The 18674-nt window shown below is 41.3% G+C and overlaps 1 protein-coding gene and 1 pseudogene across 7 annotated transcripts in view, besides 1 other annotated feature; one reads left to right on the top strand and one right to left on the bottom strand.

Annotated features, from left to right (window-relative positions):
- The window catches only part of KIF24 (kinesin family member 24), an 81292-nt gene that overhangs the window by 5000 nt on the left and 57618 nt on the right, over window positions 1-18674 (top strand). For 4 of the 7 annotated variants that reach the window (XM_011517863.4, XM_047423343.1, XM_047423340.1 and 1 more), the window contains exon 2: window positions 17301-17948. In XM_011517863.4, the coding sequence (XP_011516165.1) occupies window positions 17326-17948 (623 nt within the window). In that variant the 5' untranslated portion in view covers window positions 17301-17325. Of the gene's footprint in view, window positions 1-9048; window positions 9233-16765; window positions 16823-17300; window positions 17949-18674 lie in introns of those variants that run through there. The other 3 variants (XM_047423342.1, XM_011517861.3, XM_017014697.3) reach the window with 2 other exon arrangements.
- Window positions 8341-10398, bottom strand: SERPINH1P1 (serpin family H member 1 pseudogene 1; annotated as a pseudogene).
- Window positions 9382-10047: an enhancer, noted in NCBI's record as "H3K27ac-H3K4me1 hESC enhancer chr9:34318623-34319288 (GRCh37/hg19 assembly coordinates)". NCBI's record gives its function as "activates a minimal SCP1, AML or CMV promoter by ChIP-STARR-seq in naive H9 embryonic stem cells {active_cell/tissue: H9 hESC(naive)}" and the evidence as "EXISTENCE:reporter gene assay evidence [ECO:0000049][PMID:30033119]".

Genomic DNA, 18674 nt, shown 5'->3' with positions numbered 1-18674 from the left:
TCAGGAAATATTTGTTGAGTTGAATTTAATTTACAAGAAATAGATTGGATTCCTCTTCATGCCCTGCCTTGTTGTCTCTCTGCTTCAGAGACGATTTTTTATTTCGAGGCTAGGGGGAGGCCACCCTAATCTTCAATGCAAAAGGACCTAAAAGTCCACACACAGTCCACAGCTGGCCTTTCTACTCTTTGTGAAAGGCTAAACTTTTTTGGATTGGTTGCTGCAACTCTTCCTGCATCTGTGGCTTTTAGCCTTGGTCTCCCAATAATTTTATTAGACTCCTTTTAGTCTTTGCTTAAAATAAACCATTCTGTTGCTGTATGCCAAGATAATTTATCTCCCTTTAGCTTCTTAGTGACCGGCAGCTATTGTCACATTTTAAGTGTGCTTTGGAAAATGTTTTAAAGCATCTTCTTTGTACTTGTATTCTACAAGTAGAGAGGCTTTGTAGTCTCTCTATTGAAGTGCATATAACAGCTGCTCAGGTGAACTCCATCTATTCATCAGGTGTCTATGATAGAATTGCGTTCCTAAGACTGTTTCGTTGTTAACTCATGGATTATATATTCACAGCCTGATTGTTGGTGTGATTGCTCCTTATATCAAATTCATAGCTCACTGGTGGCCTTAATAAAAGGAGTGAAAAAGTTCAGTACAGCAGCTATGTTCTTGTTACCCTTTTATAAAAGTTTGAAACACTACCTTATAGCTGTGACATGTAGTGGAAACCCACTACATGTGGGTTTGGCTTTGGCTCTGTCTCTGTCTCTAATTCACTGTGGGTGGCTTTGCAAGTCATTTAGTCCCTTTATTATTATTATTATTTTTTTTTTATTAGAGAAAATGTCTTGCTCTGTCACCCAGGCTGTAGTGCACTAGCATGATAATAGCTCACCGCAGCCTTGAACGCCTGAATCTAGCCCCTTTAGACCTCATTTTTTCCATCTGGAAAATCAAAGAATTGAATTAGATTAAAATTCCTGTGGCTCTACTCTCAAGTCAAGTAGTTGATGTCAGGTAGACCACACACTCTCAGCCTTCCAAAGACCATACAGACTTTTTTTTTAGCTGCTGAAAGTAGTAGTTACCATTTATTGAGTGTTCACCCCGTACAAAGCACTGTATCCAGGGCTTTATATGCATATTACATTTTTCTTAGTGTAGCACATTACTGCTAAGATAGCATTTTATTTAAAATTTGTGGTTTTATATTGTTAATGAAAATCTTTAGTTATTCAGAGTGTGTCCTTGGGGCAACCTAAGGTATGAGCCTCTCAGTTTTTAGTTTAGGGAGAACCACAGTTTCTTTCTCTGGGCTGCTCTTTTGTCGTAAAGTGAGGGGCTGAACTCTTCTAGATCCCTTCCAGATCTAGTATTCTATGATGCCTGATATATTAATCCAGTTTCCCTATGCTGGCTCAGCAAACCAGTTTATAATTTGCACAGTGTAGATCCTCAACACATTTTGTTAAATAAATAATAGAGTTCTACTTCTTAAACCTTGAGTGTATGGTCATTGTATACCTCCCAAGTTACTGTCTCAAGGGTTTTGATGTTCATATCGTGTTGAATAAGAAGAGTTTTCTGTAGGTATAAACTAATAATAATAGTATAATATATTGTTGAGTGTTTATATATCAGACACTGAATGTAGCAGTTAATTTACATTATTCTAATTAACCCTCATGAAAGGAAACATTTTTTCCAAGTCAGCATTTTTTTTTGTCAGTTCAGTGCAGTAGCTTCCTAAATGATCTCCCTGTTTCCACTTTTGCCCACCTGCTGTGATCCATTTCCTCACAGAACTGGGAGAGTGAACTTTGAAGACGAATCATAGCATATACTTTCTCCACTTAAGATCCTCTAATGACTTCCTACTTCACTTAAAAGTAAAATTCAGACACTTTTATGTGGCCCAGTACACCCTACATAATCTGGCCCCTACCTTTCTCTCCTCTTCTCATACTATTCTCCTTCTCACCTACTATGCCAGCCAACCTGTCCGTGTTTGATGGCTTGATTTTGCCATGCTCATTTCCACCTTTGGGCTAATGTGCTCACGTGGAACCCTCTTCCTCCTGATTTTTACATAAGTGACTCCATGTTATTTCAGGTTTCACCTCAAATATTCCCTTCTGAATGAAGCCTTCTCTGATCATCCAATGTAAAGTAAGCCCTGCACTGGGCTTTATTCTTCGGTAGTGATTATCATCATCTAAAACTACCGCTTATTGATTATTAATTATCTCTTCCCATTAAAATAATAGTGTCATGAGGGCAGGGACCTTATCTGTTTTTTGGGGGGTTTTCTTGAGACAGGCTCTTACTCTGTCGCCCTGTTGCCCACACTGAACTGCAGTGGTGTGATCATGGCTCACTGTAGCCTCTGACTCCCAGGCCCAAGCAATCCTCCCACCTCAGCCCCCCAAGTAGCTGGGACCACAGGCATGTACCACCATGCCCAGCTAATTTTGTTTATTTGTAGAGACAAGGCCTCACTATGTTGTCCAGGCTCATCTCAAACTCCTGGGCTCAAGCAATCCTCCCTCAGCCTCCTAAAGTGTTGGGATAACAGGCATGAGCCACTGTGCCTGGCTGACCTTGTCTGTTTTGTTCACTTATATTCCTGGTGCATAAAACAGGGCCTATCTCATACAAGTCTCTCAAAAAATATTTCTTGAAGATTGGATAAAGTTTCCTCTTGGAACTGTAACCATATCTGTGTCCATATCAATTCATTTGAGTAATACAAACTTGCATAATTTTGGTGTCCAGGAGCAGTGACTCAGGGCACCAGCATCTCTGTCACAATTTTCCTGAGTAATCAAATTACCCTGATAAATAGTTTCTACCACCCGTTACCACAAACGATATCAAATGCTTTTATAGAGTTTTAATATACTGTAGGGATATTTATTCATTAAACAATTATTGAATATTATTTCCAATCACTCTTTTATTTATTTATTTATATTTTTTTCTGAGATAGTCTTACTCTGTTGCCCAGGCTGGAGTGCAGTGGCGCAATCTTGGCTCACTGCAACCTCTTCCTCCCAGGTTCCAGCGATTCTCATGTCAGCCTCCTGAGTAGCTGGGATTACAAAGTGTGTGCCAACATTCCCAGCTAATTTCTGTATTTTTTGTGGAGATGGGGTTTCACCATGTTGACCAGGCTGGTCTCGAACTTTTGGCCTCAAGTGATCCACCCACCTCAGCCTCCCAAAGTTCTGGGATTACAGGCATGAGCCACCGTGCCTGGCCCCAGGCACTGTTTTAGAACCTGGGTATAAAAAGACTAATAAGACATATTGCTTTTTTTTTTTTTTTGAGACGAAGTCTCACCCTACTGCCCAGGCTGGAGTGCAGTGGTGTCATCATGGTTCACTGCAGCCTCAACCTCCTGGGCTCAAGTGATCCTCCCATCTCAGCCTCCCAAGTAGCTGGGACCACAGGTGTGTGCCACCATGCCCAATTAATTTTTATTTATTTACTTATTTATAGAGATGGGTTCTCCATATGTTGCCCAGGCTGGTCTTAAACTCCTGGGCTCAAGTGATCTTTCTGCCTCAGCCTCCCAAAGTGCTGGGATTACAGGTGTGAGCCACTCTGCCTGGGCAAGACACATTCCTTGACCACAAAGAAATTATACTCTATTAGGGGAAATAGACATAATCAAATAATTATCATATAATAATTATTAATATAATTAACTGTAATAATAGAGATATGCAAAAGGTATGATGCAGACACGGAAGGGACATCTGATCACATTGGGGGAGACCAGAAAAGACCTCATTTGTTGTTATAATCAGTAAGAGGTAGACAGGTAAAGGGAAGTTTGATGATAGTGGAGGAGGCCACTTAAGAGCACAATGTGAATGAATGCACAGAGAAATAAAACGGTCTAAGAAGTTGACTAAACTGTAGAGTGAGGAAGGGGCTAGATTACAGAAGGATTTGTGGGTCATGCTTAGGAGTTTGGACTTTGTACTATGTGTAGATGATAAGATACCATTGAAGGGTTTTTAATAAGGGAGCAGCATTGTTATAACTGCTTTCAAAAGAGTGATCTGGCTCTACAGTCTGGAAGATGGTTTGAGGAGGGGCATAACTGGAGGCCAGGAGAACAGGTATGAGACGTGTAATGAATAGGTGGAAGATATGGGGCTGAATCACCAGAGCAGTGGTGGTAGAAATAAGGATAGGAGAGGAGAAATTTGGCAAGTATGTGGGAGATTAAATTGGCTGGATCTATTGATTAGTTTTGGGATTAAGGGAGAAGAAGGCCTCTAGGATGCTTTCTCGTTTAGTTCTGAGTGACTGCATGAATGGTATTTTCACCCCCCTTCCAAAGAAGAGAGAAGTGGAGGGGCAGATTTTGTCAGGAGGTATAATGAATTCTGTTATTGACAAGTTCAGATGCTCGACTGTGGAGACATTTTTATAGTGATTCCTGCTGTTTTTGCTGCAACACATAGCCATGAGATTGTCTGTGTTACTACGAGGTGAACTAAAGTTACATTGGGATTCTGGAAGTAACCCACTTAATAATATTGCACAACGTCCAGACTAAAGAGACTAGTTGAGATTTCACCAGCAATGAGGGGTGGTACTGTGTCTATTACAGTCTTTTAAATTAGCCACTTGCTTATGTGAGATTTGATTAGTTAAAACTAGTGGTGTAGAATTATGTAGCCAATATATGGCTATCTGATCACTTTCTAAAACAAATTTATGTCATGGTTTTGAATAAATTAAATTATCTGTGCCTCAGTTTCTTTATTTGTAAAAAGGGAGATGATACTAATTGCCATCTATCACAAAAAGTCTTGGAAGATTATTCAGGTAGCACAATTAATTACATGTTAATAATTTTGATTACAGTGAAAGAAATTATTGTTTTAGTCGTTCTTTGCTTTCTCGATGTCACTCCTTTGGAAATAATTCCTGGTCCCATGGTGGCAACAGTTCCCAAAGGGACTGAAAGAATGTCATCTTGGTAATTTATGAAAACTGATTGTAACAGTTATTTTTCTGATTGAACATGTGAAATATATTCTGTTGAAAGTATTTTATGACTGCAGTGTGGCAAAATCTGCAAATGACAACGTCCTGCAGTCTGTCAGAGCAAGATTTTAAAAATAAAGCACTGAATTTAAACCCAACATTGGTTACCACCTGTTACTGAGAAGTCTTTCAGAATTAAATGTCTATATTTAGAGAAAGTAATACTTGGCACTGGTTTAAGATAACTAGGTTCTAAAATTTTGTTATGTTTATTTTTAGGTGATTGCTCATGCTTTTCACCAAATGTAAAAACGTAGTAAACTCTTTGTGGGGCTCTTGAGGGGAATTGTAGTAATTGTAGAGCATTAGCTACTTAACCATAAACAAACTTGAAACTATTTTTTTTCTGTTAAAAACAGAAACAATTTCTTGAAAACTACTTTTTAAAAATGGATATAATTTACATGATTTATATCCCCAAATCCACATCTTGCCTTAAGAATTCTATTAAGTATCATATATTCTAATTCCTTTGCAGCAGCTGTTTTAAGCAGTTGTCTAGTATCATCTGTCTTCTGTTGAGATCAGTAGTCTATAGATAGAAGAATCCCTAGAGTTTGAAATAAGTTCCCTTGTAGGGGGAAAAGTGTATACTACATTTTTCACCCTTTAATCTCTCACTGATAATACTGAATTTATTGTGTTCTTGGTGACCTTATGCCTAATATGGGGTACAGAAATGTTTTAATAATAAAATTGATTGAAAATGCTGATTTTCTTTTGTATCAGTTTCTTTAATTTGTTTTTTGGAGACGGAGTCTCACTCTGTTGCCCAGGCTGGAGTGCAGTGGCGCAATCTTGGCTCACTGCAACCTCCGCCTCCCAGGCTCAAGCAGTACCCCGCAATATCAGCCTCCCAAGTAGCTGTGACTAAAGGCATACATCACCACACCCAGCCAATTTTTATATTTTTTGTAGAGATGGAGTTTCACCATGTCGTCCAGGCTGGTCTCAAACTCCTGGGCTTAAGGGATCCAACCACCTTGGCCTCCCCAAGTGCTGTGATTATAGGCATGAGCCACAGTGCCTGGCCTTGTATCAGTTTCTAATAGTCCAGCGGGCCCAGTGACTTTGTTAGCAACTTCTTTAAAAGTGATTATTATTAGGCTGGGTGCAGTGGCTCATGCCTGTCCTAGCACTTTAGGAGGCCAAGGCAGGAGGATTACTTGAACTCAGGAGTTTGAGACCAGCCTGGGCAACATTGAGACCTCATCTCTTAAAAAAAAAAGTGATCATTATTAGTGTTTGTCTAGGGCTAGATGGGTTGGGGGGAAATTGGGAGTGACTACCACTGGGTACTGGGTTTCTTAATGTAAATGAATAAAGTTGGTTGCTATAAAGGGACTAGGAGCAGGCAGGACCATGGGGTGTATTAGAAGAGTATATGCCCTTCTAAAGGGGACAGCCACTACTCTGTTTTGGTCTACTACTTCCTTATCTAATTGCAGGCCCGATATAACTACATCTTTTAATTTTCAGGAAAAGCAGGAACTGGGTATTTTTAATTGCTCCTAATTTTTTAAACAGTACAACAAATTAAAAAAAAATTTAAACACTTTGCAAGCCAGACTGCAAAATATGAAGATAATCCTTCATGGACCAAATATTATAGGCTAGATCAGCTACAGATTAGATTATCTCTGTTGACCTGGCTAGCTGTAGGACTCCTTTTAAAAAAATCTTACAAAAATATAATGTAGGACAGGCACAGTGGCTCATGCCTGTAATCCCAACACTTTGGGGGCTGAGGCAAGAGGATCGCTTGAGCCCAGGAGTTCCAGACCAGCCTGGGCAACATAGGGAGACCTCATCTCTACAAAAAATAAAAAAATTAGTCAGGTTTGGTGGCATGCACCTGTAGTCCCAGCTACTTGGGAGACTGAAGCAGGAGGATTGGTTGAGCCCAGGAGTTTGTGACTACAGTGAGCCGTGATTGCACCACTGTACTCCAGCCTGGGCGACAGAGTGAGACGCTTTCTCTAAAAAAAAAAAAAAAAAAAAGAAGAAGTATGTATGTATGTATAGCTTTTTTTTTTTTTTTAATGCTATCGGTAGATCACTGTGCCTGTTTTGTTCCAGACACTTAGTGGGTGCGTTACAGAACCTGTCTCCTGCAAATGCGTAATCAGTACACTTGTAGAGAGTACTTTAACATATCTAATTTTACTGTCAATGCCTGTATACATTATTTCAATTTTAAACTTGAAGAAGCAGAGACTCATAGATGTTAAATAATTTGACCATGTATCACACCTGGTTCTTAGCAGAGACTGACTGAGTCCTCGGTTTTTTTTTGCCTCCTAATCTAGTAATCTGCTATACTAGTTACTACTGCGCAAACACTTTGGTAGTCTACTGACAGATATTTGAAATAAAAATCTTATTTAACATCTTGAAATAGAAAAAATAAACCATGTAGGTATTTTGCTCCCTGTTCAATTCCATCTCCCTCCCTACAGAATAAGAATGTGTTTGGTGGCAGTGGTAGTTTAAGGGCCTATGTTTATTGGATGTCTCTGATGTGTTATACCAGTGCTTTAGTGTTAGTTACCTTCTGAATCTAGTGACATGTCAATAATTATGTTAATCTATTTCTAAGAAGGATGGAGGGAGGTCTTACAATAAAATACGTAACTACAAAGAAAACAGTGAATAAAAATAAAAGCACACATTTGAACAATGCAGATATAGCTAAGTACATGGAGAAGGGTCATTATCCTGGTAAGCCTGTCTAAAGAGATCTAGAGCAAAAATCCTGGGGTACAGGTAAAATAAAGGTCATTTCAGTAACATTTTGGCAACCTGAATTCAAACATACTTAAATTTGTGGAAAGAGAAAAATTAGTTTAGGTCCTCCCCTCTCCCCTCCTTCCCAAGGGAGATCTGTAGCTATTTGTAGGTTATAGCCTTTTTCTTTTTTTCCTTTTTTTTTTTTTTTTTTTTTTTGAGAAGGAGTTTGATTCTTGTCACCCAGGCTGAAGTGCAGTGGTGCAATCTTGGCTCACTGCAACCTCCGCCTCCTGGGTTCAAGAGATTCTCCTGCCTCGGCCTCCCGAGTAGCTGGGATTACAGGTGCCCGCCACCATGCCCAGCTAATTTTTGTATTTTTAGTAGAGATGGGGTTTCGCCATGTTGGCCAGGCTGGTCTCGAACCCCTGATCTCAGGTGATCCGCTTGCCTCTGCTTCCCAAAGTGCTGGGATTACAGGCACGAGCCACCCTGCCTGGCTGGTTATAGCCTATTTCTTTTCTTTTTCTTTTTTTTTTTTTTTTGTTGGAACATTTTATTGAAAAGAAAAACTGTATAAATAAGTTCTTGGTTTGATAGTAACAAAGGCTTATGTTCCCCCTTCCCTCCCCATCTTTGAAGAACTAAAAAAGAAACAAAAAGTTCATCCCCATGACGCCATTCTTGACCAGAGTCTGCCCAGAAGCCTGTCCTGTGAGCTCTTTCTCGATCTGCCTCAATGGGGCCAGGTCATTCTGGGGATGCCTGGTCCCAGGGGCTGCAGCACCTAGTTTTGTAGTTGGGAGAGACTGGGATAGAGCTGGGGAGGTGGCTGAGGTGGTTTAGTGTCAGGAGAAGAGGGCTGGCTGACCCCCCTAGCTCCATTTGGTCTCACAGGTGAGAAGGTACTTGGCTATAAATATGAACACTGATTGAGGCAGGCTTGATCTGGGACTTTGAGGGCAGGCAGGATGATTATGGCCCAGGTACCACAGGATGTGGAGTTTCTGGGCTCAGCATCATGGTATCTGGGGCCCACGTCCAAGTGGAGTAAATTCTAGCTGGGAAGGGCCGTTCAAGCACACGGGAACCCTGGTTTGTTTGTCCACCCCCACCCATGGAGTATCCAAGCTGGTACCTCACCTCCCCCGAATCCCAGTAGCACCCATGTGTCTCAGAAGCCTTTGGCTGCCTCCTGCCATCCTGTGTGCACCCTGAGGCCCTAAAACTCGTCTTGCATCTTGTCAACCTTAGGCCGGACCAGGTGCCCAGTGAACAGCAGGGAGCCGCTCTGGGTGTCCCACACCAGGAAGATGAAGGGGTGGTCGGAGTAGAACAGCTTGGGGCTGCGCAGCTCCTTGCTCCCATAGATGTCCTGGTCAAAGGAGTTGCCGTCTGTGTCCAACTCAAAGGCGGTGGCGTGGAACACGCTGGTCAGGTACAGGTCCTTCTTGTGTGGCATGCGTGACAAGTTTGCCTTGTTCTTGTCAATGGCCTCAGTCAGGCCAAGCCTAGCCAGGAGTTTCTGCAGGTCATGGGAACTTCCACCACCCGCTTGGGCAAGGAGATGGCGACAGGCTTCTGCTTCTTCCCCATCCAGATCTTCAGCTGCTCTTTGGTTACCAGCTTTTTAAGGCCTCGAGGGGCTCCACGTGGTGGGGCATGAGGATGATGAGGCTGGAGAGCTTGTGGGCCAGGGGCATCTCCACGATTTGCAGCTTTTCCTTCTCATTGTCATAGTAGTTGTAGAGGCCTGTCTGGTGCATCACCATGACACCCACGGTATAGAACCGAGTCACCATGAAGCCACGGTTTTCCACCATCTTGTGGTGGAATTTCTCATTCCAGTGTGGCTTGAAGAACATGGTGTTGACAAGCAGGGCGCCATCCATGCACTCCATGTCCTTGGTGACCTTGGGCAGCTTGCCGTCGGTGGTCTGCACGGCCCACTCGTGGATGGACTGCAGCGCACTGCGCTTGTCATGGAAATTGATCTTGGAGTGCTCGCAGTTGTAGTGCTGCTTGCTGCTGCGCACGAAGTCATCAGCGAAACTCACTGAGCTGGGTCCCTACAGGCGACTGCACAGCTTCCAGGTCACGTTGCGCGCGGTGGAGTTGCTGAGTGAACGCAGCGGCTCGCCCACGCCGGCGTGCACCTCCTCGTCGCTCAGCTGCTTGGCACTCAGCACTGCCTTGGCCTCCGACGCCGTGGTCGCCTTGCCGCCCAGCGACACGAGCCCCAACGACGAGGCCACCACCACGGGCGACACCAGGATGTTCTCCACCGCCTGGTCCTTGGCCATGGCCTGGTACAGGCTGAAGGCCAGGCCGGCGCTGTGTTCGGCCAGCGTGGCTGCCTTGGGGCTCAGCTTCTCTGCGGTGCCAGGAGCTGCTGTGGCTGCAGGTTTCTTCACCTCGGTCGCCAAGGCCACCGCCAGGAGGCAGAAGGCGCTGAGGAGCAGGAGGGAGCGCGTGGCTGGGAGGTGGTTTGCGTGCACCACGATGGACCTGTCAGGGCTAGGTCAAGCTGGGTTGGGCTGGGTTGGGCTGGGCTGGCTCCAAGACGGGAGTCTCGCTCTCGAGCCGCGACACGATTCTACTCTTCTATAGCCTATTTCTATGTAACTTTTACAACTTATAGCTGAGGGTTACCTATATGTTCATTATTCATGTCTTTTTTTTAGGGGCGGGGTCTCACTATGTTGCCCAGGCTGCATTATTCATGTATTTATCTTGTTAAACCACCAGCTTTAGACTTGTTTGTTCTCCTCCCTAATTTTCTAATCAGGCTTCTACATGTTGAGGAAAGGATTCTTAAAGCAATCCTTTGCTCCCATGCTCCCCTAACTACTGAAAAATAAATCCAATAATACAATTTGAATTAAAAAAAATTAAGATTTTAAGGGTATGGTAGTATGCCCCCTTATTCAAGGAGGATATATTCCAAGACCCCCGGTGGATGCCTGAAACCATGGATAGTACCAACCCCTATTATAGGTTATGCATTTTCCTAAGTCTAGAACTTTCATTCTTTCACTTAAAGGAAGCACTATGGCTTCTCTTTGGCATATCTGAATTGCCAACATTACTACTCTTTTGCTTTGGGGCCGTTATTTAAGTAAAATAAGGTTACATGAACACAAGCATTGCAATACCCCACAGTTGATCTGGTAACCAAAATGGCTACTAAGTGACTAATGAGTGGGTAGTTTATGCAGTGTGGATAGGCTGGACAGTGGGATGATTGACATTCCAGGAAAGGGGAGCCAGTATTGTGAGAGATTTTAATCGTGCTACTCAGAATGGTGCACAATTTAAATCTTACAAATTGTTCCTTTCTGGAATTTTTCACTTAATATTTTTGGACTGGTTGTCTAAGGGTAACTGAAATGGCAGAAAGCTAAATTGGAGGACAGGTACTACTGTAACTTACATTGAAATTGTCAATCTAAAAACAACAACCAGTAAATAAGCACTTTTTTTTTTTTTTAAGACAGTCTCCTTCTGTCGCCCAGGCTGGAGTGCAGTGGCGTGATCTTGGCTCACTGCAATGTCCGCCTCCCACGGTCAAGTGATTCTCCTACCTCAGCCTCCAGAGTAGCTGGGATTACAGGCGCGTGCCACCATGCCTGGCCAATTTTTTTTTCTTTTTTTTTTTTGAGACAGAGTTTCACTCTTGTTGCCCAGACTGGAGTGCAATGGCGCGATCTCAGCTCACCGCAACCTCCACTTTCCCGGTACAAGTGATTCTCCTGCCTCAGCCTCCCGAGTAGCTGGGATTATGGGTGTCTGCCAACCACGCCCAGCTAATTGTTTTGTATTTTTAGCAGAGACGGCGTTTCACTATTTTGGCCAGGCTGGTCTTGAACTCCTGACCTCAGATGATCCACCCGCCTCAGCCTCCCAAAGTGCTGGGATTACAAGCGTGAGCCACCGTGCTCAGCCGCCCGGCCAATTTTTGTATTTTTAATAGAGACGGGGGGTTTCACCAGGCTGGCCAGGCTGGTCTCGAACTCCTGACCTTGTGATCCACTCGCCTCAGCCTCCCAAAGTGCTGGGATTACAGGCATGAGCCACCGCGCCCAGCCAGTAAGCACTATTTTTACTTTAGGAGTTTGCTTCAACAGAGTTTTTAAAAACAGAATTCTGACTTAACAATAAATAACATTTTTTATATAAAGCATCTAACATAGTGCTTGGCATAAAACAGAACTCAATACATTTTAGTTTAATCAGATCATCAAAGTAGTATGGATGTGGACTATCTGCTGACATAATGGAATTAGCCTTTTATATAAAATGCTTTTTTAAACCATATGAAGTGTTCAGAGTGAAGTTGGTAACATTGTGGATATTTGGCTTCTTAAAGTCGTAAGGGCCCTGAGGATGTTGCCATTACTTTGGGTGATGGGACTCGTAAAGAATTAGGAAACTCAGAGAAAATGGCTCTATGGCCACATAAGCAGGTGTCATGGAATCTTTTAATCACTTCGTTGCCTTGGGCAAAACAGTAGACATAATGGAACTTTTTTTTTTTTTTAATAGAGTCTCGCTCTATTGCCAGACTGGAGTGCAGTGACACGATCTCGGCTTACTGCACCCTCCACCTCCCAGGTTCAGGTGAAACTCAGCCTCCTGAGTAGCTGGGATTACAGGCACTTGCCACCACACCCAGCTAATTTTTGTATTTTTAGTAGAGACGGTTTCACCATGTTGGCCAGGATGGTCTCGATCTCCTGACCTCGTGATCCACCCACCTTGGCCTGCCAAAGTGCTGGGATTATAGGCATGAGCCCCCACGCCCGGCCGATAATGGAACATTTCTAAAAAAATTTTTTTTTTTGGGGGGGTGACAGAGTCTTGCTCTGTCACCCAGGTTGGAGTGCAATGGCACAATCTCAGCTCACTGCACCCTCTGCCTCCTGGGTTCAAGTGATTCTCCTACCTCAGCCTCCTGAGTAGCTGGGATTACAGGCGCACACCACCATGCCTGACTACTTTTTGCGTTTTTAGTAGAGACAGGGTTTTGCCATGTTGGCCAGACTGTTCTCAAACTCCTGACCTCAAGTGATCCCCTGGCCTTGGCCTCCCAAAGTGCTGGGATTACAGGCATGAGCCACTGTGCCAGGCCCATTTCTAAATATTTTAAATGAACAGAATCTAAGCAGATACTATTCACTTAAAATATTTGTTGCACACCTATCTAGCACAATGCTTGACTGAGTGGGATCATACTGCTTTTGTCTTTAATAATTCACACAGTAGTACAAGGCAGAACCATCTTACATTATCTCTGGAACAAGACTGGCAATAATTTTTTTTAAAAATGAGTATGTATGTCATAAATGCCGTATCAGTTTTATCATCAAAACTCTGCAGGAGTTTAGAGAGAAGTCACATTTCCCTGAGGTATTAATCTAGTCAAATATTTATAATAGTATGGATTGTTTTTATGGCTGTAACATATAGCATATGAAAATGTTTATGTTAAATTAAAACATAGATTGCAATATAGTTATGAGTACAGTGTTATATACAATTTTTTAAAAGGCTAGAAAGACACCAAGATCTTAAGAAACAATTGTATCAGGTCAATTTGGGGAGGCTGAGAGGGAGGAAGGGAGGTGAAATTAGAAATATATATAATTTTTTATTTAGAAATATATGTTTAAAATAAATAATACAGTCACATAGTTTCAAAATTTAAAAAATAAACTGTTTTAGGTCTTGCCCTGGGTGATAGAGACACCAGTGACATAGAAATGACAATAGGAAAGGTAATAATAACTACCAGCATTTAAAAGTATACAGTAGTTTCCTTCCCATAATCACCCTCTACCACCTACTTCCCCTCACCTCCTCAAGACCACTATTATTGTGCATCCTGCAAGTGACGTTTTTTGTCTGATAAGCAAAGATATAGATTTATTATAGATCATTTATCTCTCTCTTTTACAAACTGTTCTGTACCTTGCTTTATTAACAATATATTGGACAGCTTTCTTTTTTAAATAACATTTTACAGTTTACTTACTCTTTGTAATTGTCTCATAGCATTATTTCATTAAATGGACTATCATAATTTATTTCACCAGTCTCTATTCCATGACTTTGCTATTACAAGCTGTGCTGTAATGAATAACATTATAGTTAACGTCATTTTGTACTTGTACGTATTATCTGAAGGATAAGGATAGGTTCCTAGAGGTAGAATTGCTGGATCAGTGCATTTGCATTTGTAATTTTGATAGATATAAATCAGTGGCATGCAATCATAATCACCTAGGGAACTTTTCTGAAGTTGTTATGTCTGCCTTTCCTAAAACCTGGGAGTTATTTCTTGTTGTTTTTTGGTTTTCTATAGATCTGGGATGGGGCTCAGGTATCTATATATTTTAAAGTGTCTAAACTGGGCTGGGCATGGTGGCTCATGCCTGTAACCCCAGCGCTTTGGGAGTCTGAGGTGGGTGGATCACTCGAGGTCAGGAGTTCGAGACCAACCTGGCCAACATGGTGAAACCTCCTCTCTACTAAACATACAAAAAAATTAGCCGGGCGTGGTGGCGCGCGCCTGTACTCCCAGCTATTTGGGAGGCTGAGGCATGGGAATTGCTTGAACTCGGGAGGCGGAGGTTGCAGTGAGCCAAGATTGCACCACTGCACTCCAGCCTGAGCAACAGAGCGAGACTGTCTCAAAAAACAAACAATAAACAACAACAACAAAAAAACCCAAGTGTCTAGAGTGATTCTGATGTTTATCTCAGAAGAAAGAGGAGAGGCTCAACATTGTAAAATGGAATGTGGTACGCAGAAGCATATTTAGGCTTGGCTCGGTGGCTTATACCTGTAATCCCACCGCTTTGGGAGGCTGAGGCAGGAGGGTCACTTGAGCCCCAGGGGTTTGAGACTAGCCCGGGCAACACAGGGAGACCCTTTCTCTACAAAAAAAAAAAAATGTAAAAATTAGCCACATGTGGTGGTGCGCACCTGTAGTCCCAGCTAGTTGGGAGGCTGAGGTGGGAGGATCACTTGAGCCCAGCAGGTTGAGGCTGCAGTGAACCATGATCACACCACTGCACTCCAGCCTGGGCAACAGAGCAAGACCATCCCTCAAAAAAAAAAAAACAAAAAAAAAAAAACAGATAACGGGGGAAGCTATACATGTGAGAGGCAGGGGATATATGGGAAGTTTTTATACCTTTCACTTATTTTTGCTGTGAACCTAAAATTGCTCTAGAAAATAGAGTTTAATAAAAAATAATTTTAATCTGGGCATGGTGGCTCACACCTATAGTCCCAGTTACTTGGGAGGCTGAGATGAGAGGATCACTTGTGCCTACAAGTTTGAGTCCAAAGACCCTATCTCTAAAAATAATAATAATAATAATAATAATAATTTCTAAAAAACTTGTTTTAAAAAATTATTATTATTTAAAGAGAGATATTGCAGTTATCTACTGCTGTGTAGCAAATTACCCTCAAAACTTAGTGGCTTAAAACAATTATCATTTTATTTGCTCAGAGTTCTGTGAGTCAGATATTTGGGCTGGGCTTTGCCCAGATATTTGGGTTGTTTTTTCCTGATCTCACCTGGGGTCACTCATGTGGTTGCAGTCATCTAGTGGTGCCACTGGGCCTGGATAGTCTAAGATGACTTCTTTCACATGTCTGGCTTTGGTGATGGCTGTTGGCTGGGCCCTTGAGGCCTAGGCATGGAAGTCGCATAGCATTACTCCTACCATATTGTATTGGGCAAAACAAGTCACAAGGCTAGCCTAGATGAAATGAGGGAAGAAATAGACTTCACTTCTTCATGGAAGGACCTGCAAAAAATTTTTGGTCTTTAAAAAACAAATCTGCCTTCACAAAACAAATCTACCAGCCAGTGTGGTGGCTCACGCCTGTAATCCCAGCACTTTGCGAGGCTGAGGTGGGTGGATCACCTGAGGTCAGGAGTTCGAGACCAGCCTGGCCAACATGGCGAAACTCCTTCTCTACTAAAAATACAAAAATTAGCCGGGTGTGGTGGCACGCACCTGTGAATCCTAGCTACTCAGGAGGCTGAGACAGGAGAATTGCTTGAACCTGGAGGCGGAAGTTGCAGTGAGCCAAGATACCACCACTGCACTCCAGCCTGGGCAACAGAGTGAAACTCCATCTCAAAAAAAACAAATCTACCACAAATAGAAGGCCAGGATTAGTTTAGGATGTGTTACTCAGCCCATTTAGCCTTTTAGCCTAAGTAGTATTTCCCCCAAAGCTAATTATTCAACGTTCTTTGGTTATCTTTATTACCTTGCCCTCACCTCTTTCTCTGTTTCTGCTAGAAAGAAGATGAAATAGAAATTAAAACGAAAACAGGAAAGTTGTACCACTAGTTACCTAACTGAATTTTTGAAAACTCTGAATTATGAAACCATTTTAAAAAAGAAAATGTACTGTATTTACTTTTGGATATTCTCATGAACTTGATTAACAGTGATATAGAGAGCTCAGGATCCTGACTTTTAATAATAGACCAGGATTATGTGTTATTACCACATTATTTGTTAGTATTTAATTAAATATCTTGATATTAAAATTTTTTAAAAGATACAACTATTTAAAATCTTGACCTTAGTATTAATTTCCTGGGCAAATTATTTGATTCATATTCTGTACAGGTAGAGATCGATGACCACCTTTTGGAATGATCTGAAATCCTGAATTGGCTGATGCTGAATTGATGATGTCTTTACTTCTATTTAACTAACTTTTGCCAGTACTCAGCAAATGCAAATGCTATCTTCCTTTGAGTTACATTAGTTTATAATCCTCTGTGGTATGCCATTTAATTCTGCTTTTCATTCTGAAAGAGTTCTTAGCCCCTGTTCATTATTCATGGGAAACAGTTGTGCAGCATGCCTTGACATTAAGTTGAGCATCTAAAATTAGTCCTGCTACAATCAGTTGTTGGGAACAAGGTTTCAATAGTTGTGGCATGTGTTAAGTAGACATTGCAAGGTTGGAAGGAACTCCCTAGAAATAAGTAAGTTATGTGTTATGTATGTGTTCATTTGTGTATCTATGTGTATATATATATGTGTGTGTATATATATGTGTATATATATGTATATATACACATATATACGTATATATGTATATATATACGTGTATATACATATATACGTATATATGTACATATATACGTATATATATACATATACACGTATATATGTATATACACGTATATATACACATATGTAAAATGGAATGTCTCTTTTTATTAAGCAAATTAACAAATTATATGTTACCACAAATTCTTCATATGCAATACAAAGCATCTTTGTTCATGCACTATGCTATTTAATCAATAATTTCAGAAGAAAAATATGTTATTGAGAACTTGACAGATAAAACATTTTTTGCATGTTTGTTTTGTGGTTTTGTGGTTTTCAATTTTTAAAATAAATAATTGTATTACATGTACTCTATTTCAAGCGAATGGCTTTTCTTTCTCTCTTCAGAGTTTATAGAAACCTATTCACCAAAATGGCATCCTGGTTATATGAATGTCTTTGTGAAGCTGAACTTGCACAGTATTATTCTCATTTCACTGCCCTTGGCCTTCAGAAAATAGATGAATTAGCCAAGATTACAATGAAGGACTACTCCAAATTAGGAGTCCATGACATGAACGACCGCAAACGTCTCTTCCAACTTATCAAAATTATTAAGATTATGCAAGAAGAAGATAAAGCAGTCAGTATCCCAGAGCGTCATCTTCAGACAAGCAGCCTGCGCATCAAATCTCAGGAATTAAGATCTGGCCCTCGCAGACAGCTGAATTTTGATTCTCCTGCTGACAATAAAGACAGAAATGCCAGCAATGATGGGTTTGAAATGTGCAGTTTATCAGATTTCTCTGCAAATGAACAGAAGTCCACTTACCTAAAAGTGCTAGAACACATGCTACCAGATGATTCCCAGTACCATACAAAAACAGGAATTCTGAATGCCACAGCTGGTGATTCCTATGTGCAAACAGAAATCAGCACTTCACTCTTTTCACCAAATTACCTTTCTGCAATACTGGGGGATTGTGATATTCCCATTATTCAAAGAATCTCTCATGTTTCAGGGTATAACTATGGAATCCCTCATTCTTGTATCAGGTAATAAATTTTATCTTTCTTTCTTTTGAGGGAAAGTAGCCTCAGGCAAGGGCAGGCCTCTCCTTCATGTCCAGCAGACAGCATCTACTCCTTATTTATAGTAAATGAATATAACAGAAATTATCATGAACAGCATTTGCATCAATAATAGGAATACCTGGATGTGGGAAAATTAATGAGAAATTGGGACTTTCTAGGTGGGAGAAAGATGATATTGTTCATGTACATCAGAACAGCTGCTACTTGCCAGGATCTGTAGCAGATCTGTTTCTATTGTTTATTATAGCGTAACATGATACATCTAGTACATCTGTGAAAGTGAAATAGTTAACCCTTCTACAGTGGAGAAAAAAATTACACAATCCACAGGACTTTTTTAAGGTTATCAAATTCACTTAACCCAACCAGGAGACTTAAAGATGCTTTGTTAAAAAACAAGGGCATGTAGTTTAATTAAGTAGGTCTTTGGGGCAGTTAGTTCACCTACACACATTGAAATATGATCCTAATTTTGAGTGCTTTCTACAATTTCAACCCCGGAAAAAACAGATAATTTTGGTGATTACAAACAGTAAGACATTGTTGGTGGAGATGAGAGTTTGAGAGTCAGGGTGACAATAAGTTATTTTCACCTAGTGCTTCGAGTTAGAATTTGAAATAAGGTCCCTAAGAGGTGAAATAACAAGTAATCCCTAGTACTAACAATGGTATAATAGGAAATATGTT

This window comes from Homo sapiens, chromosome 9 (genome assembly GCF_000001405.40).
Source record: "Homo sapiens chromosome 9, GRCh38.p14 Primary Assembly".
NCBI lineage: Eukaryota > Metazoa > Chordata > Mammalia > Primates > Hominidae > Homo > Homo sapiens.
This window is presented reverse-complemented; position numbering and strand designations above follow the sequence as displayed.